General features: G+C 43.6%; 1 protein-coding gene and 1 long non-coding RNA gene across 2 annotated transcripts in view, besides 3 other annotated features; both read right to left on the reverse strand.

Moving 5' to 3' along the window:
* The window catches only part of ADARB2 (adenosine deaminase RNA specific B2 (inactive)), a 560,213-nt gene extending 540,966 nt beyond the window's left edge, over positions 1–19,247 (reverse strand). Inside the window, exon 1 of the mRNA NM_018702.4 lies at positions 18,773–19,247. Coding sequence (NP_061172.1) covers positions 18,773–18,872 — 100 coding nt within the window. The 5' untranslated portion in view covers positions 18,873–19,247. The remainder of the gene's footprint in view (positions 1–18,772) is intronic.
* Positions 18,579–19,175: an enhancer, noted in NCBI's record as "H3K4me1 hESC enhancer chr10:1779051-1779647 (GRCh37/hg19 assembly coordinates)". NCBI's record gives its function as "activates a minimal SCP1, AML or CMV promoter by ChIP-STARR-seq in naive H9 embryonic stem cells {active_cell/tissue: H9 hESC(naive)}" and the evidence as "EXISTENCE:reporter gene assay evidence [ECO:0000049][PMID:30033119]".
* Positions 18,579–19,196: a biological region, named in NCBI's record as "H3K4me1 hESC enhancer GRCh37_chr10:1779051-1779647".
* Positions 19,137–19,196: a silencer, noted in NCBI's record as "silent region_2068". NCBI's record gives its function as "represses an Ori minimal core promoter by ATAC-STARR-seq in GM12878 lymphoblastoid cells {active_cell/tissue: GM12878}" and the evidence as "EXISTENCE:reporter gene assay evidence [ECO:0000049][PMID:35858748]".
* LOC105376345 (uncharacterized) overlaps positions 25,335–27,350 on the reverse strand; it is a 28,677-nt gene continuing 26,661 nt past the window's right edge. The window contains exon 5 of the long non-coding RNA XR_930537.3: positions 25,335–25,932. This is a non-coding gene — a long non-coding RNA (uncharacterized LOC105376345). The remainder of the gene's footprint in view (positions 25,933–27,350) is intronic.

Here is a 27,350-nt window from a genome sequence, read left to right on the forward strand (position 1 = left end):
CACTCTCCATGTTCCTTGCCTGTGACTTGGAGGAATCATCCAGAACGTGGTCCCACCCACATGCATGGACGGTCAGGCTTCTGCTGGTAGGGAGGCTGCTTCCTCCCAGTGTTCTTGGGCACCTGTGGCCCCACTGCCCTGGGAACACGGTGGGGAATGAACATGCTAGCCCCCAGGGCTGACCCGAAATGTCACCCTTGCCCTTTTGTGTGTGTGCATGCCTCCGTGTGAGTCCACAATCGAGTCTCTCTGCAAATGCTGGGCTGTCCTGTACCTCCTGCCCCGCCTCCATGTCTGAGCATTGCCCCTGTGGGAGGAATGAGACAGGGAGCGGCGTTTAGAGATTGCAGCTGGCAACACGGCTCTGAGCATCCCTAAAGCAGGGGCCAGGGTCTTCACGGCTGCTTTACCTAGGGGGGCAGCACGACCCAGTTGACAGGCAGAGGCCAGGCCCCCAGGTTGTGTTTCTGACTCTGCCCTCCCAGGAGGGGGCTCCAGGCTCTGGCTTCCAGCTCCCAGGCAGGTTCTTGTGGCTGGGACTGTCCCTGAGCCTCTCGGCAAGATGAGAGACTTTGCCTTTCCATCTCAATTGATTGTGAATTAAGGAACTTTGGAAATTTACCTCGATTGTAGTGGTCAGATTTTCCTATTTTTCTTAGCTGTATAATCTGCCTAAAAGTTTATCTTTACCTTCTTTTTGTTGTTGTTGTTGTTGTTTTTTGAGACGGCTGGAGTGCAGTGGCGTGATGTCAGCTCGCTGCAACCTCTGCCTCCCAGGTTCAAGCAATTCTCCCACCTCAGCCTCCCAAGTAGTAGCTGGGATTACAGGTGTGTGTTACCATACCTGGCTAGTTTTTGTATTTTCAGTAGAAACAGGGTTTCACCATGTTGGCCAGGCTGGTCTTGAACTCCTGACCTCAGGTGATTGGCTCACCTCAGCCTCCCAAAGTGCTGGGATTACAGGTGTGAACCACCATGCCTGGCCCACCTTTACCTTCTACAATGCCCAGGGCACTACAGTCTCACACACTCCTCTATTCTCTTGCTCTCCAAATTGGGATCCCATCATTTTACACCACTGATTCTTCTCTCATGAAGTGCAACATTTCAAATCTTTGGATTTCAGAAAAAACAATGCCTTCTAAATTGAATATATGATATCTATAGAATAAACTAATTTGTTCCCTAGCTCCATTGAATCAGAAGCATTTTATACAGTGGCCTTTTGATAAAAAATTGCTAAAAGAAACAAAACCAAAAATTGGCAAATGGGACCTAATTAAACTAAAGAGCTTCTGCGCAGCAAAAGAAGCCATCAACAGAGCAACAGACAACCTACGGATTGGGAGAAAATATTTGCAAACCATGTATCTGACAAAGGTTCAGAATCTATAAGGAACCTAAATAAATCAACAAGCAAAAAACAAACAACCCTATTAAAAAATGGGCAAAGGACATGATCAAACACGTTCTCTAAAGAAGACAAACATGCGATCCACAAGCATGTGAAAAACATTGAACGTGACTAATCATTAGAGAAATGCAAATCAAAATCACCATGCAATACCATCTCATACCAGTCAGAATGGCTATGACAAAAAGTCAGAAGGTATCAGATGCTGGCAAAGCTATGGAAAAAAGAGAATGCTTATACACTGTTAGTGGGAATGTAAATTAGCTCAGCCAACTTTTCCAAAGACCTAAAACAGAACTACCATTCAACCCAGCAGTCACATTCCTGGGGGTATACCCACCCCCCACCAAATAAATTGTTCTGCTTAAAAGACACATGCACTTATATGTTCATCGCAGCACTATTCACAATAGCAAAGGCATGGAATCAATCTAGTGCCTATTGATGGTGGATTGGATAAAGAAAATGAGGTCCACATACACTGTGGAATATAATGCAGCCATGAAAAAGAATAAAATCATGTTCTTTGCAGCAACATGGATGCAGCTAGAGGCTGTTACCCTGAGAAAATTAACAGAGGAATAGAAAACCAAATACCACATGTTCTCACTTATAAGTGGGAGGTAAACACTGAGTATTCATGGACACAGGTATGGGAACAACACACACTGGGAACACTAGAAGGGTCCGGAGAAGAACAAGGATTGAAAAACTGCCAGGTACTATGCTCACTCCCTGGCTGAGAAGATCCTATACCAAACCTCAGCGACACCCAATTTATTCAGGGAAGAAACTCACACATGTTAACTGAATCTGAAATAAAAGTTGAGTATCCCCTGAATCTAAAATAAAAGTGGAAAAAAATAGGTTAACTTGTAGATGGCAAAAAAAATTGCCAAAAGAGAAATCTAGGGGCAGTCTTTATTTGAATATTTAGCAGAGTAATCGGTATTGTCTCATGGATGATGGGGTGAAATGGGACATTATTTCTACTTTGGCCCACACTGCAGGAGCATGCGGGGGCCTCTGGGCCCCTGGACACGTGGAAACCCTGTGGCAAAACATTTGGAGGAGCAGGAAGCTCACTCAAGGCAAATTTGGGGGCAGCAACTAATATCATATGGAAAAAGAAGAGGAGCTGGTATAAAAGACGTTTATTAACGTGTGTGCCCGATGTCCTGGCGCCACTGGCTCGCTGCAGTGCTTCTGTCTGGAAGGTTTTCAGAAAGCAAAGGCACCCACCTCCTCTCCCTGCACAAAGCCGCTTTGAATGTGCATCTTCCCACTGCTCGGATGAAGATGATTTCAAAAATGGGAATTCAATTGTGGAACTTTATGAGGAAGAATACAGTTAACATAACTGAAAACAAGGCCAGCACTCGCTTGAAGGAAATGCAGGAAGAGATTAATTTGACAAACCTGCATCTCCAGCTCAAGTTTGGCCTTCCTCTGCTTGAGGGGATGTCAGCAGAAAGAAGGGCCCTGGCCCCAGCAGAGAAGTTAATTCATCATCATCAAAATTATGTAAATAATTCAAGTCACTTTTTAAAAATAAAGCTATAAAGAGAAGAATACAAACCAAAATATTGCAAGAGGTGACATTTTGCTGTATGTGTTCAGATAAGACCAAACGAATGTTGACGTTGACATAAAATAATTCAGAAAGAACAAGTATCAAACACAGACTTTAAAAGTACCACCTTACTGTCAGCGTGTTTTCTATATTTTCCCAAGTAGCTTTCACCTAGTGGGATTCTATTTATACTGAATTAGGTGGGCTTGCTGTGTGCATACACATCACAGGGAGTGCAAAGACACACACACGCTGGACACATTAGTGTTAGGTACACAGATTGCAAGTGATTTCTGTTGGAAGTCAATTGGGACTTTGCACAGGAAGGTATTTTACACATAAAGAATTTTATGCATTATTGCAACGGCAGCAAAGCTCACAAAAGCCCATTTAAGCCAAATGTACAGAGGGCCTTGTGTGGCCTCAGTGTCACATACAATATTATCTCAATGATGTGTCTGTTCTGGACTGAGCTCTGGATCTCAGGGACACAGCATTTGTGCTTTCATCTACCCTCAGCCTTGGCCTCATCCCAGCCCTTGGTCAGTGCTCCTGGGGTCCACAGGACTGACTGGAGAGGGGTCCAGAGAAATCGTCTCCATCTGCCCCCTTGTCGAAGTTCAGCGGCATGAGAGCACCCCTCATTCCTGGTGATCAGAGATTGATACTTACTGGCTCATTGCTAATAAAATGCCACCAAGAATCGGGGATTTGTTTACTATATTTAAAGGTTTAAAATGTTTAACTATCAGAAGTCCTACCTGTGAGTGTTTATGTAAAACGACTTTATAAGTAAGATTGGGAACAGATGGGAAGAGCTATTTTAGTCAGTTGGTGTGTCATGAAATTGTGTAGACTCTATTTCACTGTAAACCCTTCGTTACACTGTGGGGGTGCTACAACGTTACAACATGTTTTCTTGGGAGGGTCGCACTTATTTAACCTTTAAATTGACATTTGGGGCACTGGTCACTTAGAGTGAGTTCAAATGTCCTGGCTATTATTGTGCATGCAGATTTATTTCTGTAATCTACTTTTCATTCACTGACTTACTGAGGTTAAAATAGAACATGCACATTTACCTGTGGCTTCAATTCCACTTTGTTTTACCAGCACTGACTCTGAATCAGTTAATCTAAGAAGTGACTTCTTGTTTATGCAGGCAAGTGGATGAAAGTATCCTCTACACAAACACACAGGGGCACACAAGGGAACGCAGTAGGTCCTCATTGTAAATCTACATGCCCGGTAACCCAAAGCATGAGTATCAACCTGATAAGCACACTTTGTAATTTTCAAATTTAGTTCCGGGTTTTATCGAATGAATAATGTGCTGTATTTCATTCCGTTTCTTGGTAGCACATCAACTTCCTATTTTTTCTATTCTTCTCTTGGGAAATAGAATGAAAAATTCCCTCACCCCTCGTCTTAATTCATTGCATTCCTTAAAGATTTTTACCTTGTGCTGTGATTAATAATTATTTTGGAATTCAATGTACTTATTATATAGATATCTGAAAAATGAAGACGTTTGCCTATCTGAATCTAGTTCAACGACCTCTGCAGTTTCCTTTAACCCTCAAATCAAAAACGTGTATTACTTAAGCAAGCAAAAGCACAGTGGAGTGTGCCTATACATACGTGTATATTTACCCATATTCATATACATGTGTACACACACACATACACGCACACACAGGTGTGCACATACACACTAAGGTGTCCTATATTCATATTCATGTGTACACATGCACATACACACACATGCACACACAGGTGTGGACAACACATGTCACTAAGGTGTGAGCTGGGCTGCACGCTATTCAGTATCTCCCTGGAAACGGGAGCGCATGCCCCTTCTCAGAAGGCCCTTGTGTGTCATGGTCCTATGATGTAGCTTTTACGGCCACTGCTAACACACTGTTTCTGAGACTTCTGTTTTAACAGCAACATGGAAGAGCTTCCAGCAGTGTCTTTTCTAAGTGGCGATTCGCTCTACATTGCCCAGAGAACATCTGCTCCTGAGTTTTGTGCTCCTGTCCTCTGGGGACCTGAGCTCTCCCCGTGGCCTTTCTGAACCCACCTGTTCAATCCTGCTCCAGGGCCTTGGTCCCTTCTTAAGCAAAGAACAGCCGGTGGGGCCGGAGGGACCAGGCTCTGATTCAGGCTTGCTCTCACCATCTCGCTTTCTTCGGTAGCCACTTGCATTCTTTGGGCCTCACTTCCCTCATCCAGGAGATAGAGACACAGTTTAGTTGATGGTGTCTTAGGTCCTTTTTACCTCCCCATAAGAGAGTTATGAAGCAGACCTTATCAAACCTGGGAAAAGAACTGTCAGCGAGAAGTGAGAACGGTCCGCTTGCCACCTGCACAGGGGACAGCAGCCCTTCTTAGAATCACCACGGTTCTCTCCATCTTTAATGAGAAATGGGCACCTTCCAAAGGGCCAGGAAGGGAGAAATCAAAAGGTGGAATGAAATAAAACTACTTACCTTCTAACCACCCTGTTAGAGGGCACCACGTGGCAAAGACATCAAGGGGAACCTAATCAGAGGTTAGTTCAATTCCAAAAGTATTTCTCACCCTGGAGACGTGATGGTTTTCTAGCAGTGATGCTACAGGGATGAAGGTGGGATTTATGAATTTTCTGGCCCTTATTGAGGTAGAGATAATGTTTCTGGGAAAAGGGCACTGATACCCTAACCGTAAGCTTTAGTTTTCAGAAAATGTTTCCGAAGGTGAATTTCTGTGGTTTTCTCTCTGTCATGGGCTGAATGGTGTTCCCCCAAAATTCATGCATTTAAGTCCTGACCTGTGGTGCCTCACAGTGTGACCATATTTGAAGATGGGGTCTTTAAAGAGGTGCGCAAGGTAAAATGAAGCTGAAAACATACAGCTGAAAAGCGTGCAGCCAAGATTAAAAGCACATGCATGTGCCTGTGTGTCCTCAGGACTGGGGCTTTTTCTGCTGCTGGCTTTTCAGCTGCACCCATCTCTGCATCTGGCCCATACAGAACCATGAGGTGCACAATTCTTGCCTGGCTAATTATTCTAACTGTAAAGAGCTGTTATCTGTGTCCTGGTGGTGTCGAAGGACACTCTCACAGGATCAGGTGAAAGCACTCTTCTCCCTGAGAGGTCAGGGCACATAGCCTGCCTGGTTTATCTTCGTTCCCAAGGGACAGATGCACCAAGCCCCCAAAAGCATCTCCATCAGAGCCAGTCCCCCAAACCCCAGCAGCCTCGGAGGCTCCTTGTGTGCGCAGCAGCAGGAGGGCCTGCCTGTCATCCTGGGTCCCCGACAGAAAGTGATGATGCTCCTCATTTCCATGGCCAGGGTCCCACTGTGCTCTCTGCCTCAGTGAGCCACAGCCTGGTGGGGTCCTGGAAGAGCTTCAGGTCCCATAGAGCAATAAAAGAAGAACCAGAGGAAAGAATAAATTGGTCTGGAAGTTCCATATTCAAAATGGGGGACCCTAGCCACGTCTACCCTTTGTGGGAGAGAGGATGTAACCTAGGGTGGGGGCCACAGAACTTTAATAAGCAGGGGTGTCGTAGGGAGAATGTGGACAGCCACAATGCCTGATGAGGGGCCACAGGTACTTGCTCTAACCTCTCCACGCCAACGCTGTAAAATGAAGACAATAAATGTCACTGCCTTGTAGTGTTGTTGGGAGGATTAAATGAGGCAATGCACATGAAGCTGTTAGGACAGGATAAGGGCTCAGTAAATATTAGTTATTAATCTTTAGTTCCTATTGCCTAAGGGCCAAACGGACAATCAGTTAAACAGACGCACTGCACTGATTCACACCTGACTGAGCGCATGGACCCTGCAGAGAAGGAAAGTCCCAACCAGATGAACCTGCCAGGACATGTCCTCCCTGCATCGTGCTAACCTCAGGGGCCGCGTTAACGTGCTGTAAAATAGATACATCCAATCTCATGAATTTTTAGTGAATATATTTTGCCTGGAATGTGAGTAAAGGGGCACGTCCCTGACTCCTGAACCGGAGTGGTCTCGCGATGTCACATGGCTGTGGCACACACGCGGTTCTATTTATTTCTTCTCCATCATGGGTAGGGGGGCCTCTTTCTGACATGAGCCCAGACTAGAATGTCATTCCTTCTTGCAAAAATACATCAGAATAAATCACATGTCACCGCTTCAGAGTCACATGAAAAACACTCGCAAGTGAGTCCTGCAGCCCAGAGGAAGAGACGCCCAGGACTCTGCGGTGGGGGAAGACCCCCTCCCCGCGCCGGGAAGAGACGTCCAGGACCCTGAAGCAGGGAAAGCCCCCCACCACCCAGAAGAGACGCCCAGGACCCCACAGCGGGGGAATTACCCACCCACCCGGGGCAACACCCGAGAGAGCAGGGAGCAAAGACATTCACTTCCAGGACAGAAGGCCACGCTGCCGCACTCGTATCCGAAGTTTGAATGTCCTCAGCCGCAGATGCGTTTTTTGTTATGAGTGACAAGAACGCTGACACAAGACACTAACCTTTCTAGAGGTGCGGGTGAAGCTATCCTGGGAAACACTAAGGAATCAGCTCATCCCGAACCGAAGGAAGGTGAGAAGTCCCAGGGAGAGAGGCATGAAGGCCATTTCTTCAGCCACACTGGACTACGGATAAAATGTTTTCATAGTCAAGAGTACAGGGGCTAACCCCAGAATTCTACTGTGTTTATCAGTGATTACGCATAAATATGTACAAACAGTATACAGCATTCAATCTGTTGACTGATTTCCATTTTAGCAACTCGCATTTTTAGTTTCCCTGATGTTCAAGTTTTGAGGTATTACTAAATACTATTACGGGTAAGGATCTCTGCCCAACTGCTGCAGCCAATATTCCTGTGGCCAAAAATGAGCAGAGCCTAGGCAAGTAGCACATATGACAGAATTTTATTTATTCTCTACAGTGCGGTTGGGTGTAGCCTCTACATATGTCTCCTGCTTACTTAGTGTGTATGAGAGAAAAGGAACAGACGATAGATTGTTTAGATTCTAGGTGATAGATGACAGATCAGTAAGGTAGATGGTAGATAGTTGGATGATGGGTGATTGATATGATTCCAAAGTTATCTAATAAGATAAGACCAAGAGACATGCTGTCTACATAGAAACAAGGGACCATTCACTCTCGGTGACTGTCGCCTTTTCCGTTCCCTATCCGATATCCACAGTATTGAGTGGACGTGGTGCTGCCAGCACCTTCTGTGACTCTATGGATGACTCTGTAAATCGTGTGAGACAGATGAGTGTGTATCCTGCTTCACATGACCGACCTCCAGGCAAAGAGATGCCGTCCTTGGTCACGAACGAGGCCATGCTCTGTTGAGAGTCAGAGTCCTCGGTTTCCCCAGCTGCCTGGATTTTTCATGAGATAGGCAGGCAGCACTTGCCCTGAGCTGCAAGAAGCCAGAGGGTCCTGGGCCCTGGGCAGTGCCTGGCTCTCCGTAGATGGGGAGCTGGGGACCTGCTTGCAGGTGAGGGAGACTGGAGAGCAGCTGTGCATTCAGGAGGGAGGAGTGTGGGGAGGAGTGTGTGCATCCCAGTGAGACCTCAGGGGCTCACGCTGGAAGCACAGCAGAGGGGCCAGGGAGAGGGCCCGGGGAAGGACAGCGAGGGCGCCCATCTTCAACAGAGACCACGGAGAAGGCAAACCACATTCAGACTTGCTCTCTGGCGTTTTTAGAACATGTTCTAGAGCTTCTGTTCCTGCTTAATCTCTACCATGTAGCACAGTGACTGACAACGAAAGGTGTTCAGTAAATGTTTGCTGAATGGACAGACTCCAATTTACATAACTGTGGCTTAAAAATAAACCCGACAGGGCGCTTTGTAAATGTACAATGTAAATCTGATAATAAATTCTACAACAAGCATGTATTCGTGGTATGCGGCGAGACAATCTCTATGCTGGTTTCTGGGAGCCCAGAGATGTGGATTTTGGCCCCCATTCTTGAGAAATCCCAACAAAGGAGGAAGCACCACCAGCACCCACACCTGCGGGGAGCCCCGCAGAGCAAAACCAAGGAAGATGTCTTCTCTGCTCGTCTCGTCACCCCAAAGGTGGTCATGGAAGCCACCTCCAAACCCTACTCCACGCTGAGTGCTGCCCTGTGTAAAAGACGACAGCTCAGCCCATCTCTCCACAGCCTCCCCCGAAAATGTTCCCCTCTCCCAGAGAGTTCCGATTATTTAAGAAATTCTTATTACAAAAACGCAATCAGTTTTCTCAGTGGGTTTTAATTGAGTAGCTATTATGTTTTGATATTGTAGAAAGAATAGAAATGTTCAAACTTAAAGGGGTTTACATTTTAACGGTTTAGTTTTACAAAGAACTTTCATTTGATATAATAAAGGAAATACAATAGAAATCTATTTTTGTAAGCCCATCTGATGATAATTTATATATATATATAGTGTTGAGATCACGGAAGGTTATTTTTGTTCCCTGTTCGGATTTCATGTGTGTGCCTCTGTATCTCCATAAACAATAGAAGCTCAGGAGGAAGGGCCGCGTCCACTCCTTTTGCTCATGTCATTGTGATGCCTCACTCTTTGCCTGTCTCACGGTAGGCACTGGAGATAGATTTACACATGAATAAATAAATAAATAAGACTCATGCCCAATACAGTTTTTGTCTAAAGACACATATAATGTTTAAGGCAAAATTGCAAACAGAGCAGAATTGGATAGCACGCACCATACTTTAAAATCAAGTGTTCTTTCTGTATTGGTAGCCACATAAAGCAAAATGCAAGAAAGATGAACTTTAATCAGGCACAGGAAGAGACTTGGAAGTTATTCTTTGTCTCTCTTTCCATTAAAATCCCTTCCTTCACACCAATGTGGTTGTTGTTTCTCTTTTATGATGTAAGAAGATAGATTTTTTTTATTAGTGGCAATGACAAAAAGATTTATTTCAGTTGGTGTAAAATATGCACAAAGGGAGACTTTAAACAATGATGTTTTGCAATTTTTACAATTAAGCAATTAGTGTTTCTCTCCATACTCTAAAACACAGTCACAAACCAACATTCTTTTTCATTGCCTCCCAAAGAATTTGTGCTCTCAGAGGTTTAGTGAAGATTTCTTTCTCTACATGATTTTTGTAATGTTTATATTAGACTGCTGCTGTTCTAGAGCTGGGGAGTCTTTTAATATTTCAACTTTCTCTATTTGAATAAACGCTTTTGTGCTTTACCTCTTGAGTCTGTCATCCCTCTACGTCGTGTGCATATATTAGACATCTGCACAAACACACAAGTGCACATGTTAACGGCATGCCTTCTATTCATTACCCACATACAAGAGCCCCTGTCATGATTTAACTTCCCTGAAGCAAAAATTTGATTAAAAACTCAGGTGATTACATAAAATTATATGAACTCTCACATTTGTTATACTTAAAAACAAAGAACCTTAACTTCCTAAATGGCTAATAAATATTTCCCTGCAGGTCAGTCAGTGCTGAATATATACCCATCTTTAGTTCCTGAGAGTGAAACAGTATAAGGATGTTGGAATAATGCTTTGCTACACATCAAAGCTATTATACTTCTAGAGGCAACAGCTTTTGCTCTCAGTTCAGTATCACTCAGGGCTGTCAAAGTTTCTACATTCCTCATGCTACTGTCTTGGAGTTTTTTCAAAAGCTACTGCTTATCCTAGTACTTTTCCTAGAACTCCAACAATGATGTTTATCTCAAAATTATTTCTTCTTCAGAAAAAATTGGCATAGAATTCTGAGAATTTTCAAAATTTCTCCTTGAGCCATGTATTTTGGATTGAAAACTCTGTTAGAATTCTTTGAGAGCCTGGATAGTCCTTTAAAAAGGTTATCTGTAGTAGTAACATTTAGAATTGAAGCATGAATAAAATATCTTTGTGTCTGTGGTTAAATTAGGCTACCTATGTTTTTCTTTACCTAAGGAATAGTAAAAGGTATTGTTTTTTAATAAAACAAATCATTTGTAGATCCCCAAATTTATAAAAACAATGTCCTTTTTAATTGTACACATCAGATAGTGTCTGAGCTTGTATATACTTTACATTTCTGTCCTCAGTCCTGAACACAGTCTAACACAAAGAGGGCAGGTACTTCCTTAAAGAATGTGGCTATTTTCACAGCTATAAGCCCAATGCAAGCACAGCATCTGCTCCAGACAGGGATGAGTGAACCCAGCCAGACTTGGGGTTTGGAGGAGGTCAGAATCTATTCTACTGATGTTTCTGTCATGTTTATTAAATTGCATTTTTTTCCCAAATGCAATTACACTTTTAGGAAATATTGCAATTATTTTAAAGAGAGGACATTTTTATACTTCCGGTGGACTTAAACTAATAAAACCTGCTTTTTGTTTAATCATTATCAGCGCCCTAGGTATATGCTTTGAGCTCTCCTGCTATGGGTCTCAAGTCCTGCTTCTTAGCAACAGTAAGGACCCTCTACTCGTTTGTTTTTAGCCATAAGAAGAGATTTGACTTGGGTTAGCATTTTCAGGTAGGAGGAGGCTCCAGTTTCTGAGAACTGAGCTCCCCATCCTATTTTAATACCACCTTTGAGAAGACGTATTTGAGAAATCACATCAGACATTAGGGAAATGATGAGGCAGAGCTTCTGTCTGTCGGCAGTGGGAAACAAGAATCAAAGACTTCATCTCAAATAAATGGAGCAGCACAGATTAATTAAATCGATAAATTCTCCAAAGCACATCCTGGTTAAGGGGTTTAAAGGAATTCTTTCCATTATGTGCAAATCACCTGAAGGTGTTGAGCTATCATTTGGGCATAAGATTCACTCCATCTATTAGAGGCCCTAGAGAAGTGGGTTTACAAATAGATTCTGAGCAATGTTCATTTTATTTATGATCCAAATGGCAAAACAACAGCCACAGAGAGAAACCTGGATCTGTTTTGCAAATGAGTGATCTGTTGCTGGCACCGTTAAAAAGACGTGCAGTGATGAACGTGGCCAGATTTGAGTTAGAGATCCGTAGGAGTGAGACGGTACTTAACACCAAAAATAATAACTGCCCCCTTTCACCTTTGCATCCCCACTGCTGGGTTTCTCTTTCTGATCCGTGGGAGATTTTGCTTGTACACAGTGTGGCCCTCTTCCGCGTGAGGCTTCAGCTGGTGTGACCATTTGCATCAGAACTGAATTAGCTGTTTAGTTACACAAACACGAGGGTCCTAGTTGCCCTCTGCCTTGGAAGCAGCTCAACGAAGCCACCTGAATGCCACAATTTTAAGTGTACACAGCTGAAAAAACTTTCAAAAATTTCACCTCTTAGAGAGTTGAAATAAATTTCCTTAAAATCTAAGTCACCTGAGCATTTATATCATCTTTCTCTTCGAACTTAAGCACACATGTTACTCTTCTTTTTTTATAGGAATGCATGATTTATTGGACACTATTTCTTAAGTATAAAATCCCCTCCTTAATATAAATATGGAATTTAGATGATCTGTTCTGCTATGTTTTCAGATTAAAAAACTGAACGTTAACTATTGATCATTTTTGTAATTTAAAACAGATGATACTAAATTCCAATATATATGTATTTTATAACCCAAAGAGGACTTACCAGACATTTTCCTGCCAGAAACTAGATACTAACTGTATTCATTCACCATCAATAAAATAATACAATGTAATTATTTTGCTGCTCTTCCTACTCAATACCTATGACTAGAATAAAAGGTGATTAAATATCCACAGTGCATATGGAGGGCCTGGGAAATTCAGATTAACTCTTTATTTCCAAATATAGATCGTTCTTCAGAAAAGTCTGCTATCTTTGCAAATGACCAAATTTTAGGGGCTGGAGGGAGATTGTGGATCTCTTGAAAAGCAAACATGTCAGTTTCTAAGTTGCTAATATTTGGATGTGGTTTCCGGGAAAATGGATTCACTCATAAACTTGCAGATGGAGATTCAGGGCCTACGAGCCCTGTTTGCTAGGGCGTTGCTTAAACAATGTCAGGCAAGCAATCAGATAAAATAGCCCCGTCCTCCATTCCTTTTAAATCAAATAAACGAGTAAATAAAAGCCCAATTTTAATTGCTGAACAGGGATGTCTTGATACTAAGACAGTAACATATGCAAGCAGAGAGGAGTTCTGGCTCCAAGGTCCTAAATTTCTCAATGTTCCCTTCCCTTCCTGTTTTCTAAAGTCTCACCAGAGCACGTTAGCTGTCCCTGTGAACCAAAAATTTTATAAGCATTGTTTCTTCTCTTTTTGAATGTAATGTCTCTATTTGATATTGGTATGTTCTTAATTGAGTTATATCAAAAGCTAGGAATAAACAATCGCCTTTGAAAAATCAAGTATTAAGCAGCCTCTGTTTCTCTGAGTGGAGAAAAAACTTTTAATTGTACAGATAGAGGTTAATTTAGTTTCATTCTATTTGCAAATACTTAACAACACGAATCAGGTTCTCGGCCACACACCAGGCAGAGTGCAGCCCCTGCTGCTTTTCTTGAGCTATCCTAACCACAGAGACGGCATCAACACACAGTAGTTTGAATATTCTGTGAAGGGCAGCCAGGCTTTTCATAGTTCACTTGGCATTCATTCACCTTTATTCGTATATTCGGTTTCAAAATGGCAATAAGCACTTATAAAGTCTTGCTTACAATGTGGAAAATTATCCTTTTAGAAATCTTGTGAGCTAGTAATTAAGAACCAAATTTAAAACTGCAATATCTGTTTTGATATAATATTTTTAAATGATGAGAAACAGAGTATTACAATAATTTTGGTTTTAGGAGTTGTTCAAAATTGTTCATATTGCAAAAATACTGACATTCATTTTCTACTATTTTGGAAAAAGAAGTAGGGGGTATAAAAATTGCTCAAATGTTTCAGCTGCTTTTACCGTGTATATACATATACATACATACATAGTAATATACATGTATATATATAATATGTATGTGTGTATATATATCATACTATACAGATGTATAGTTTTAAAATTGAACATTAAATGCTTTTAGGGCATAAGTTATCTTTTCATGCCTCAAAAAAAAAAAAAAAATTTCCTTTTCTATGTTTCCTTACGTAATGCGCTTCTGAGATGGTTCTTCTGCAGGAACCGAGTCACCCCTGTTTAGATATGGATACACGAATCCCATATTTTTATTCTACATTCAAACTCGCACGTCATATCTAATGCCCTTGAAGCAATCTCCAATTACTGTTATTACATGGGTCACTAGAAACCAGAGGCACTGATACAAAATTTTTAAAAAGAGAAAGGGGGAAAAAAAGCACCACACAATTAGGTGCTGGTTAACGGTTGAATCAATTTGATTTTATCAGTAAATCCAGCCCTTCCTCTTGAGCTGTCAGTGAGCGAGATAAGCGGAGGATGTGGGGCTCCGGCCGGCGGTGCAGGACTGTGTCCCTGGCCAGCCAGGGTGACACCGGCGGGGACGACTGTAGCATTGCAGGGGCTGCGGAGCCCACGGCCGCTCTGCCCTCATCCTCAGCACAATCTTTCTATTTCATTAATTTTTCATGGATTTTCATTTCACAGCAAGCCGGCGTCTGCCATCCATCTGCTCGACTTATTTTGTTCCTTTTGCCAACTTTTTATTTGCATTTCACAACATTCAGCAACCTGCCCGTTCTCCACACCTTCCCATGAGTCATGGCTTTACTTTTATAGAGCTACCTCGTGCTCAAAATGTATTTTCAAGTTTCTAAAACTCTGTATAACCAACCACTCTAGAACAATACCTAAATTTCAAGATAACTTATTTTGCTGTCAAATGCCTCAAAGAGGTGTCCTGTGCCAAAGCTCAAATGCAACCCGACCGGCCCCGGATGATTGCGGATCCTGCATGGCCAGTCACCCCTGAAGCCCCTTCCCCTTTCCACTCTGTGAAGATTGACACGCCGCTTCTAAAACCCCAGCCTCCAATGTACCTTGTGGAATCAGCTGATTTTGGATTGGCCCTCAATCTATTTCCAAATATGTTTGCCTTGAAACAGCCTTTTTCAAAGAAAAATTCTGGAAACTTCAGTCATTTTACACATTGTACACAGTAATGGGTAGAAGATTAAAAATATTTCATTTGCAAAATGCCTTTCATGCCAATGCATAGCTTCTTTTAGAAAAAAAAATACATTCACAAAAGAGAGAAAAACAGATAGACAAAGCAGAATATATGCACTGTTTTAATAACTAAAAACATTTAAGAAATTCCTCATACATACTACCCTGAAGTTATTCCAGGGTTCAGAGAATTATTGGCATATTTTAAAGTGATTTATTTTTATATACTCTACTGTTTTGTTGAGTTCTGCCTCTTAATCTACCTGGTTGAACGGATATTAACAAAAAAAACCCTTTTTCTTTATTATTTTTTGGTTAAAGTGTATCCTTTTTTAATACGTACACATTGAGCTATTTTCTAATACAGGCAGATATTACTCTATATAACCACATAATATGGATTTTGTTGTACATAATTACCAAGAACTATAAAATAAAGTGCAATCTCCTGGTACTGTGTGAGAAATGAACTCCAGGGGTATTTAGTGATGGCAGGTAACAGTCTCCATAACCTCCAAGTGCTACTATTTTCCGAACGCCTCTGAGTGAGGCAGGCGCGGGACACACTGACGTGTCTGGCATGTGTCATGGGATATGAACGTTGCTTTGCCGCGATGTAAAAATGAGAGAGATTTTCCCTGTCCTTCTCATAGTTTTTTTTTTTTCAGCAGCTTGTTTTTCTCTTATATGAGAGTCAAATTTTGGCATTTTTCATTTACATAAAAAATTTAAACCATTTATGAATAATTTCTAAAAGAAAGTCCCTGCTGAAAAATAACACAGAAAACACAAAATTGTACAACACTAGGTCCCAGTAAAATAACAGAAGTAGGATTGATGTGTGGGGAGACATATTCTGAGAACCTTCTTTAAAGTTTATTTGAGAGAGAAATACAGGTTCCTGCCAAATAATACCTGAAAGTCATATTCTGTGACGAAGGTGTTTTTTTTTTTTTTTTTTTTAAAGATACATACAGCTGCCTTTGTGGCATAGTAACTAAAATATAACTTCTACAGAAAAAAATATCATTTCCAAGACTATGGATTATACTTAATGAAAGTATTGTGTCCTGACCACCCTTCAGTGGTAGCCCCGGCATGCTTTATTTCAGAGCTCACAGATCATTTTGATAAGAAGCATATCATGCCAAAGTCACTCTCAGAGTCACACATAGAAAAGGAGCCAGATGTCACCACACTGGGAAATTAAAGTTATCATGCATCTTCAAAAATGATTCTTGTCCCTTAGACTAGGTAGAAATACGCATCTGACAGGCAACAGGGTCAGCATGTATCTTAATTGTCTTTATTCCCCCATAAGAACAGCCCTTACCTTGTGCTTCTGTCAGTGTCTTCAGTTAGCACCTAATAGAGCCACACTAAATTCCTTAACAGTCTCTCATACACACGTGGATTTTAAATTGTGGCAAGTATAGAGTTTTAATATCAGATAAGCTTAAAATTGAGGTTATTCTATTCATTTATGGTTGTTAAGATTCATGACAATTAGAACATAATTTAAACTCACCATTGTTTTTATAAAATAAAAAATATCAGCATCTGTAATAACTAGGTATCATAGATGAAGTAATCAATTCCCAGGAAAATGCAAATAATTATTTAATGTGTCTCTTAGCTGGTTACTTTACCTTTTAATTTGATCAGTTACATCTACATGGTTAACGTTTCCCCAAAAATTGAATCTTTAGCCGTTTGATTTGACTTTCCTATCAAGATAGCTGCCGGCAGGTGCCCTGGGAAATTCTCCCGCACGCCAGAAATCTCTTCGTAACAGAAATCAGTGTACAAAACCTGAATGCCCTTTCCCGCTTCAATTTTTGGCTATGAAAATTAAGGGACTTGACATATTCAAAATAACCAAGGTATGGAAATATTTGCTATAGGAGTTTTATTTTGAATTGCTAAAGTTAAGTTTATAGCAAATGAAGTCTTTCCCCAGATTTCCTTTTTCCCCCTAAATTGAATACTTTCTAAGCTAGCATGACTGACGCTTCCTGGCAAGGCAAGTGAATTTGGAGAAAGGCAACACTTTCCTCCTGTTTATATTTATAAAATGCATTATTGCGAACTATTACTCCACATTCTTCAACTCTAAATATTTAAATAGACTAATCAAAAAATATTGGGAAATGTGAACATTTCAAGTGTAAAGATGATGCTTCCTTTTTCCTCTTTTAAAAGTCATATTCATTATTCAATCCGGTGACTTTCTCAATATCAATGCCACTTTGTGTTGGCATTATCTTTGGAGGACACTAACAGGTCTGTTTCAAAATGATAATTTCAAACAACAAAGTGAATCGCAAGCGCACACTTAGCAGCTGAGAGGTAAATGAGAACCACAACATCACCTCCCTTCTGAAACCAAAGGCTCCAAAACCTTTTGAGGAAGTTGTGGGGGCCAATCCCTCCCAGTGGTCCTGACGTTCGGTCATAATGAATGACTGTTTGCTATTGACATTTATGCCTGCTGACTGTCTGGATAATTTCTATTATTGGAAGAGGCAATAAAGGACCTGGTGACGGTTCGAGGGCACACAGGAAACGGTCTGGTAGAAACTTATCTTAGGCCAATGCAAAGATGAAAATTCTTCAGGAAAGATGGACAACCCCAAACACACCTAACGTTGCCTCCTGCTTTCAAACAACTGGCAAAGCTGATCAATTCTAGCTGTGTTTTTCCAACCGTTCTTTATACTTCTACCTCACTTAAAAAAAATCAGCACATTTCAAATCATGATTAGAACTGAACTTTCTCCTGCAGGCTCACTAGGAACTGACAATAACACAGGTTCCTCTAGGAGAGAAGGGTCGGCATGAGAAGAATCTTTTAATTCTTCCTGGCATGCACACAGGCTACGATGGCACTGGGGGCATTGCTCTCATATTGGAGCGATTGCTAATTTTGCAAAATCCCCAGTGTGAAAGCCCTCCCTTGCTGTAGCATTGACTAACTTCAGCGCGGCCCAGCCCCAGGAATATCAGTAACAAGGCACAGCTGAGTTTGTCAGTGGCCGCTGTCAGCCGGCTGCTTTTCCTGCTTTCCTGGTTTGCGGTTTTTTTCTACCACTAACAAAATATGATGCTTCTTTCTGTTTTCCTGTATTCATTTCTGCTTATTTCTCCAAGGACGAGCCCTGTGTTCTCTTTACGACCCAATGTTTACAAATCGACGGGCACCACATTGAGTAAAAACTGCCAGCCAATTTGGAGAGGCGATCGCAGGGCTTCGCCTATCCCTTCCTCCGGGACAGTTTGGATGGGAGTAGCTGGCGCGAGGGCTCGTTCCCCCGTTTTTGGGTAATTCCTTTGGCACTGGGAGACGAGATGGCCTCCGGAGGGTGGAAGGCAGTGCCAGCCCGGCCGGCCACTGGGGACTGCGGGGCCCGGAGACGCGCGGGGTCCCCGGGGAGCTCCTCGCCGCCCTCGCCCCACTTCGTCCGGGTCCCTCAAACATGTCGCAGCGTGGCTGCTCACTGTCCCCTCTGGGCAAGAGGAGGCCCCAGACATTTCCACGGGATCTGAACTCCCGAGCGCCCTGCACGGAGCAGCCATCCCGCCAGCACCCCAAAGTGAAGCTGCTCACAACGGACAAGCCCGGAGACCCCATGAGAGGCCGGGGTGGAGAAGCCGGGGGTGAAGGGGGGCAGGGGCCGGCGCGCCACGCGGTCCTTACCTTTCCGCTTGGACCTCCGCCTCCTCCTCCTCTTGGACTTGCATTTGAGTTGACTGCTCAGCCCTCCAGACCCTCTGCCGCTCCCCAGGACCGAGGCCATGGCCGAGACCCAGGCGCGGAGCCCAGAGCCGCCTCCCTCCTGCACCTGCACCTGCCTCCTTCCCGGCAGCCGCCGCCGCCGCTGCTGCGAAGCTTGAGGTTGCAAACCCGGGAGCGGCTCACTTTTCAGGACTGAGCAGGAAAGCGCGCTCCGTCTCTCTGTCTCTCGAATTGTTCTCTATGACTTGCTCCCACTGGGCTGGGGGCCTCGGCTGGGCGCCTGGAGCGAGCTGCTCCCTGGTCAGGGAGGGCGGGGAAGGGCGCGCGGCGTCCTGAGTGCTCCGAGCTTCCCGCGGGCTCTGCCTCCTGCTCTGGGCTCCCAGCGCAGGGAGGCTACTTTTGCGCCTCTGCTAGTTGTTTGGCACCAGCCACTTTGAAGCCAATCACGCAGGGAGCTTGTCTATTTGCTGCAGCAGCGTCTAATTAGATCCAATCACAACTGCTTTCTGGCTCTGACATCAGCAGCAGCACCAGCCGCACCGCCGCCTGGCCGCTTGCAAACTCAGCTCCCGTTTGGACGGTGAAGCTCCCAGGACCGGCGGCTGGAGGGAGGCTGCTCCCGGGGAACAAGGACGCGGCGCGGGTGCGTCTGGGAGAGACCGGGGGAGCCTCCAGGAGGGACCCTGCCCGGGAGGACGAGGCCTCCTGCCGCAGCCTCGCGGACAGCTCAGCTCGCCCTGCTCAGAAAGACACAGGGACGGGTTTTTCCAACCAACAGTTTTTAACTAGTCAATTCATTACCATGCTCCTTGTGTCAAGGGGGGGAAATACCTCTTTCAGAAATGCAGAGACCGCACTTCCTCAGAAACGGACTGAGGTTTGCAATTCCCCAGGAGACAGCGTCCTGAGGGGCATTTATTCCTCAGAGCCTGCATGCTTGTCTGTTTGCCTCTTCTTTCCCCTCTTCATATTCCTTGGCCGTTTCCAATGCAAAAGATAAATCTTGCATAAAGACAGAGGTTTTGGGATCTGAGTCTGATTTTTGCCGTCAGGAATTTCATGTGTTGCTTTATTTAGGGAACAATGACACAAAAGGAAGAGAAAGCTCTCAGCGGAGAGTTTTGTTGCCAAATGTAATATTTGGATGGAAGAAAGTAACATTTACAAAGAGGTGGATTGCACACTGAAATAGTTTTAAGCAATTTTTTTTTCCAGGAATGTCCTATGTTTCAAGATTATACTTATGGAACCCTGGAAGTCTTATGTAAAATATAAAGAGGAATAGAATCTGGTAATCATCATTGCATCTTGTATTTAAATCACATAAGCTTTTAATTACAATAGTCATGTTTTTAAAAAAATCCACTCTAAAATTCATTAGCACACATTAACATGTTGATATAAAAATGGCACACAAATATTTCTGCTATTCATTGCCTCACATGCAACCTTTTCAGCTGCTTATGTGCCTAGAAATTTCCAGATAATTTTTATCATAAGAAAAAAGAATCACTCTGGGGGACATTGGAAATAATTAGGATGATCCTGTGTTGTTATGTGCTGAGCTGATAGATCGTAGCTCAGTTTTCATTGATGAGAGAGAGTAAGACATTTGATTTCAAATCTTAACTCTACTGCTATGACCTCGGGTAAGTTAAACCGTGCCTCAGTTTCCTCATCTGTAAACTGGGGATAACAACGTCACCCACCTCATAAGTTCATTCATACTCGTTGAATCAGTATCAACCAGTATAGACAGGAACTGGAACATGTTAATTACTCTATGATTATTTATTAAATTTTTTCCAGCAAATAATTTGGAAGGAATGAGCGTATGTTGCAGACAAGCCTCAGAAAGACAGGGCTTCTGCGTTTTCCTTTTAGAATGTTGAACCTTCTAGTCCAACTCAGACTGAGGACCACAATCAAACCAACATCCCTCTTCAGGGCTGGCTTCAACAACCCTGTTCCCATGACAGCACAGCTCAGCTCTGCTGATAATTCCCAGCGAGGGTTGAGAAGGCACATAGCTCTCTCACTTCCTCTCTGCAATACCCGAGATATTTGAGTGCTTAAACTATATCGAGAAACACAGCTCTAGGACTCTGCCTGTGAAACTTCTGAGCTTCACACAATGTGCTGCACTAATCCAGAGTTGCCCTATTTCTGTATCTGCAGAAAACCCATCAGGGGGTGGAGTCACCGAAGGAAGGTGCTTCAGAAGAGCTTCACACACACACACAGCCCCCACAAGGTGGTCAGCATTTATTAATGGCCCCAATAGCTCCATCATCACACGGAGCAACCGTGCTGTCTGGGAGACTCGTATACATGAACCCTTGTTTCACTCCAAGGGCAGGTATGGTGGCCGGAAAGTAACGTGTCTGTTAAATGTTCTTCTGATGTTGGTGGAGTGGGGAAACAAAACTGAAAACTGTCTTTGAACACTTCATTTAGACCCTAATTTGAAAGTTACGATCGAAATTTTGGCAAACCTTTTTCTTGAAGTTCCTCCAATTGGTTCTTTTTTGTATAATTTATGAAAATGCTGTTTTCACAGATACTTGCTGTTTTCTGTATTTTATTTATTTTGCATAAGACGATGCATAATAGATGATGCTAGGGCGACGGCTAGGCGAGAAAGCCTTTGTTTCTCATCACAGAGGGGCTTTAAAGAAGAGGCTCGCAGCGACAAGTGCGTTAACTCCAGCGTGGTTTCCAGCACGTCTCACTCTGCTGTTGCAAGCAGGGCTGCGAGTGAGCAGTGCTGGTAAGCTGCCATTCCCCGATGAGCCTCCTCACCTCCTGCCTGTTTCCCACAGTGCCTCAGCGCAGCTTTGCAACGTGGTGGGATGAGCAGCAGTTGGAAGAGGCTTCAGGAGCAGGAGCCAATCTCGCCCGGTGCCCATCAGGAGATGTCGCTGTGGTGTCCCCAGCTACTTCATGCTCAGTCCCTGCTCTTCCCACAAAACAAAGCACCAGCAGAGAGGTTGCAAGGAGGAACAGGCAGCTACAAAGCCAACTGCAGCCCGGCATGAACCTATAGGGGTCGGGGGGAGACGGGTGAGGCATAGAAAGGAGCCCTTGGCTGGATAGAAGGGGCAGTGCTGCCTCCGCAGTGAGTCCCCACACCCAAATGGCATGTGTGTGCCAGGAGGAAGAGTTTTCTCAATCAAGGCCAGAAAGGGTCCTCTTGTTGGAGTTGCTTAAAGCTCCCCCAACTCACTGTTGCTCTCATCAGTCCTACAATGTTACAGGTCTCCTGTGTGATATTTTGCTTGTTTCTTCAATGTCTGTCTCTCCATAGATCACAAGCACCACAGGAGGCAAAACCACGTCTCTCTGTGGCTTTGCGGCTGTGCGGGCACTGACCTGGGACACAAGTGTCCTTGCAGGGCAGAGGCTGATATTTACCACTGGGGCAGTGCTTGCTCTGCTCAAGGTATGGTTCTGAGCTTAAATGTTATAGTGACTCTCAGTTAATGCACAAGACCTCGATGGCGGCAGGACTGAAACAATATTCATTTCAGAGGCTCAGACAACTTAGGTAACTTGCTAGAAGTCACACGGGTTACTAGTCAGGATTCACATTCAGCACATCCTAACTTCACAGTCTGGGGTTGTTACCACTACGCCCTGCTGGTATTTTATCCTGCAGCCTGAAATTGGTAGATTTTGTGAACTTCTACAAGCCTTCTTGAGATAAGCAAAAAATACATTAAATAGTGACTCAAAGCTTCAGTAAGCCTATGTGTGTGCATAATATACACACATATAAACATATCAGAATTTTTCTTTCCTCAGAATGAACATACAATGTGGACAGAAAGACCTTATCATCCTCATTTTTCCCCTGAGGTTACGAAGGTGAAGTGTGAGGTCTGGATTCGTGTCATGTTGCCAGATAGCAGCAGAGCCATGACCCGAATGTAAGGTTCCAATACATTCCCGAAATAACAGCCATGAGAAATTTCATAGATTCACATAACTGCCCTGATCTTTTATTTCTGCAAAAGAGAGACCTAAGGCATCCTTCCTGCGGCTGACCACACAGCTTGCATCTTTTAACCCATATTCAGATCATCTTGTGCCCACTCCCGAATGTTTTCCTCTCAACTCCTTGACCTGTCTGAAGACATGGACAACTATTCTTTGCTTCAAAGTCCTGATGGTCAATACTGACTTACAATACTTCAGTTCTTAATGCATTGCAATGTCTTTCCAGATAGTTAAAGGGTTGGCTGACTTGATTTCTTATTGGTTTCCCGAAACAAATAACACTGACAAACAAACATGGTTTCTTTAGAATCAGAATTCTAGTTAATATCCCCTTCCCTCCATCAGACAATTTCACTAGGTGGAAAATAGCAGAATAAAGGATTCTCTGGAGATATTTGTGTTTGCTGACTCACTTTATCATCACATATGACACACAATTATGACTTTTTACAAGAAATAGCACAAGGGGACTTTTTTACTCTTTCATCTTCAGCCGTTGCTCTTAAGTCTAAATAACACACATCAAAGAACTTGGGCATGAGACCTGAAAGTATTTCCAAATAATATTGTGCAATATACCTGCTATGCCACATGCACGTGTATTCACATTCTCTTCAAAGGGCATGGAAGGAGGCTGGTGAAGGGGAGGGGGCAGCAGAGAAGTCCCAGGATGCAGAGGAGCATCTTGAATATGAAATGCTCTTTATCCTACACTTTTACCAGAGTAGTTTTTCCCTTTGTTCATTCTTTTTCTTGGAGGCATGCTTATGGTTTGAGAACAGCAAATGCACACTTAGCAATTTCCTGAATGAACTTGGTGTAAAGCAGGCGGGTGGATCACCTGAGGTCAGGAGTTCGAGACCATCCTGGCCAACATGGTGAAACCCCGTCACTCCTAAAAATACAAAAATTAGCGAGGTGTGGTGGTGCACACCTGTAGTCTCAGCTACTGGGGAGGCTGAGGCATGAGAATCACTTGAACCCAGGAGGCAGACATTGCAGAGAGCCAAGATTGCACCACTGCACTCCAGCCTGGGTGACAGAGTGAGACTCCATCTCAAAAAAATAATAAAAAATAAAATAAAATAAAAAGACAGTGCTTGGAAAATACAAGTGAAAAAAAAATCCTACATGCATAATCACAAGAACAGACTCCAAATTCTGCTTCTGTTGGTGCTATGGGTCTAACACATTGGGGAAGACATAACCCTTTCTGAACATCATCTGTAAAAGGAGGGAAAATGATGGCACAGAACTGCTATGAAGATAAAGAAAAAGGATGCAAATTTCTTTGTGAATGATCCTGAAATGCCAAGGTCACGTAAGATGTTTATGTGTCTTCTTTTAACACAGTTGATTTTAATCACGAATGTACCTGTGCCCAGGTGAAAGCACTGAAAATCAAGATCGTCTTTAAGATCAAGGGAACTCAGGGATGGAGGCTTCCACCCCACAAGCCCAGGAGACTCCCAGGCCCATTTATTATGCAGCGCAGGTGACCTCAAGTAATCAATCTTTCCTCAGGGCTAATTGTAACAGCTGATTCCATTTCTTCCTGAAGGTCCAGGTCGTTTGTGAGATGGCTCTACCAGCTGCAGGGAGAATGTGCTGATCAGTTGTTTTATGATATCCGTGGCCTTTGGATAGAGTAAAGTATGGTATTTTACTACTAAATATTTGTGCAGGATATGAGAAATAATGGCCTGAAATAATCCTCTTCAATATTCTAGATAGGTTCAATTACTTACATTTACATTGACAATGCCCTTGGTTGCTAGTTTCTGAAATGGGAAACCTTAATATTTTATGGAATCATAAAAATTACCATTATTTAAAGCTACATTAATGCATGGCCTACCCTCGGTGTTTCTTTGTGTCTTAAACGAGTATGGTTCAAAGAGTTATTTTTTTCACACTTTCCAAATCTTCTCTTTGAACCAGTGATTTTCAAAACGAACGATGTCATATCCCCAGAGCACTGTGTGACAGCAGGAAGAGAGGAGGAAAACAAAACACAGATGGAATTAATGGTTTGGGGTGTTAATCAATGTAATAAATTGAAAGGAAAGGATGAAAGCTTGTCGAGAATACATTTCTGTTATTTAAACTAGGGTAGGCTGATGTAATGAATTTATTTCAATTTTCCACTCTGATGTTTAAAGTCTAAACACTTCATTTCCTCCTCCGGCTTCCTCCTTTCTCTCGATATCTGAGGCGCAGGTGGTGCCCATCTGTGAGACTCCAATTCTTCATTTTCCGGCTCTCTCCCTGGTCTTGGCCTTCGGGGACCACATGCAGAGGCCTGAGTGGACGGCTGCTTGTCACGTGGTTTTGATGCTTGAACTGGCATCTCCGGCCATTGATAGCATTAATTTAAAAACCCTAGATTTTAATTCCGTACATTTGGTTCCAGCAGGGAGAGGAAGAGCAAGGGAAACTCTTATTGGGTTCCAAGCAAGGATGAAGCCTGGGGAGCTGGGCAGCCTTGGGTTTCTGCTTCCCCGAGACCCCAGCCTGACTGGGATCCAGGTGAGGGTCACTGAGAAGTCCCCGATGCAGGCCCTGCCACCTGTCTCATTTTTTTGAGTCAACAAATGAGTAAAATGGACAATCGCAGAGGGGATGTGTGGCTACCCTGAGGGTCAAAACCACGTAATATTATCCCTTAACAGAATGAGCGTGGGCTTCATGAAAGGTAACTGCTCACACGAGCAGAAAATGTTGCTGAACTAGAATGGATGTGTGCAAACAGCAGGTGATGAAGGACCTCACTTTGCTACTATTGTATCCACTCGGTACTCAAAGGCTGGCCAGACAGCCAAATCCCCCAAAACGCAGTGACATCCTCTTATTCCTCAAAATCCTGGGTCCATGCAGAACAGCCCTTGCTCTGAGGGCAAATAAATATTAGGAGAGAAACCCTGTCCCACTCATGTCTGTGAAAAACAGCAGCACCTTCTGCCACAATTGCGAAAGAAATAAGGAACCTGAACAGGAGGCAGAGGAAGGGGTCCCTCCAGGACAGTGGCCGAGAGCAGAGTCCATCAGCTGTGTTCCCAGGGTGGATGGCAAAGCGGAGGCACCCCTGCAGCCATGGCAGATAAGTTCACGGGGTCTTGCTCCTGGCGGGGAGGAAAAGAGGGAAATGAAATTCATCCATGTCTCCTTCCCGCGAAGCTGCTCTTCTCAGCCTCACCCAAGCAATTTTGGTCATAATTCTGGGTTTTCATCTTGATAATTGTCCTAGAGACATTGGGGTTCCACTAACATTTTCTGAAAATGAAGCCAGTTTTCCACTTCCATGCTTCCTTTTTCATATTTCCAGTGCTCAGAAAAATTATTTATACGGCCATCCATGACTTCGAAACCCTGTCCCTGGGGAAAGCTCCCACTGATGAGCTCCAACCCTGGCCTGGCCTGTGCCAGGGGAAGCATTACTTCCTCCAGACATTTTGGTGAAGATTAAACCAGTTAACACTTGTAAGAGTTATCGGAACAGTGGAAATCTGTGAGTGCAGGTACAGGAAAATAACTCGAGCCAGCTGTTGTCTTGCAGAGCACCCTTCATGTCCGCAGGCAGCAGACGGGCTCGTGCCCTTCAGCCCCAGGAAGGGTCCCAGCACCGCGGTCGTTGCCCAGAGGGCAGAGCCGCTGGACTCCCAGTTTTGGCCCTACCAGCCACATGGGCTGTGGCTTCACGTCCCCGATCTGCAGAAGGCACCGGGTTGTTATGTGGTTGAAGAATGTCAGCATTTGTGAGGCTCAGAACACTGCTGGGCACACAGAGTGCTGTGCAGATATTTGTTATATCATGGCAGAAAAATAAAAAAAATGCAGGGAACTCACGCCATTGCTTTAGACAGCAGTGTTGAGGGTCTATTTTCACACCTGGAGTGCACCTTGGGAATGTATTATACATGTGCCTGTGGGTGGGTTTTCTCCTTATACTGTCTAACTACAGATATTAACTAAATGGACATATTTTATTTTGTTAGATTTTACACTGGGATGGGGTGGGGCTTTAGAGAATACAACTAACTTTCTTAGTGCAGGTCTCTATTTTCATAGATCTTTGGTTCACCACAAAATATTGTTAAAATATATTTGGGAAAAGTCATGGGAGAGACCATTGCAGTCTTTGAAGAAGAAAGAATGCAGAAAGATGGAGACTAAAACACATTCCAAGAGAAATGAATAAGTACAAGGAAAACATGAAGCAGGTGGAATAGGAGAGTGGGTCCCTCTGAGCCGTGCACGCAGGGGTGTGTAGACACTGACCACAGGGAGGGAGTGGGTTTGGAGCCAAGCAGACCTCAGCCCAAGCTTAGTTGAGTCACCTGTTACCTACATGACAGCTGTGCTGTCCTCATCTGTGGGGTGTCCACATAAATATTCATCTCACGGTGTTGTGAGGATCAGGCGAGGTTGCTTATGTGAAATGCCATGTTCCCAGGCACTCACAAACATCAGTAGAGTGTCACTGATAGCCTGTCGGACTGGGACATTGGTTTCCCTGCAATACTTAGGTTAATATGATCAC

This window comes from Homo sapiens, chromosome 10 (genome assembly GCF_000001405.40).
Source record: "Homo sapiens chromosome 10, GRCh38.p14 Primary Assembly".
Lineage (NCBI taxonomy): Eukaryota > Metazoa > Chordata > Mammalia > Primates > Hominidae > Homo > Homo sapiens.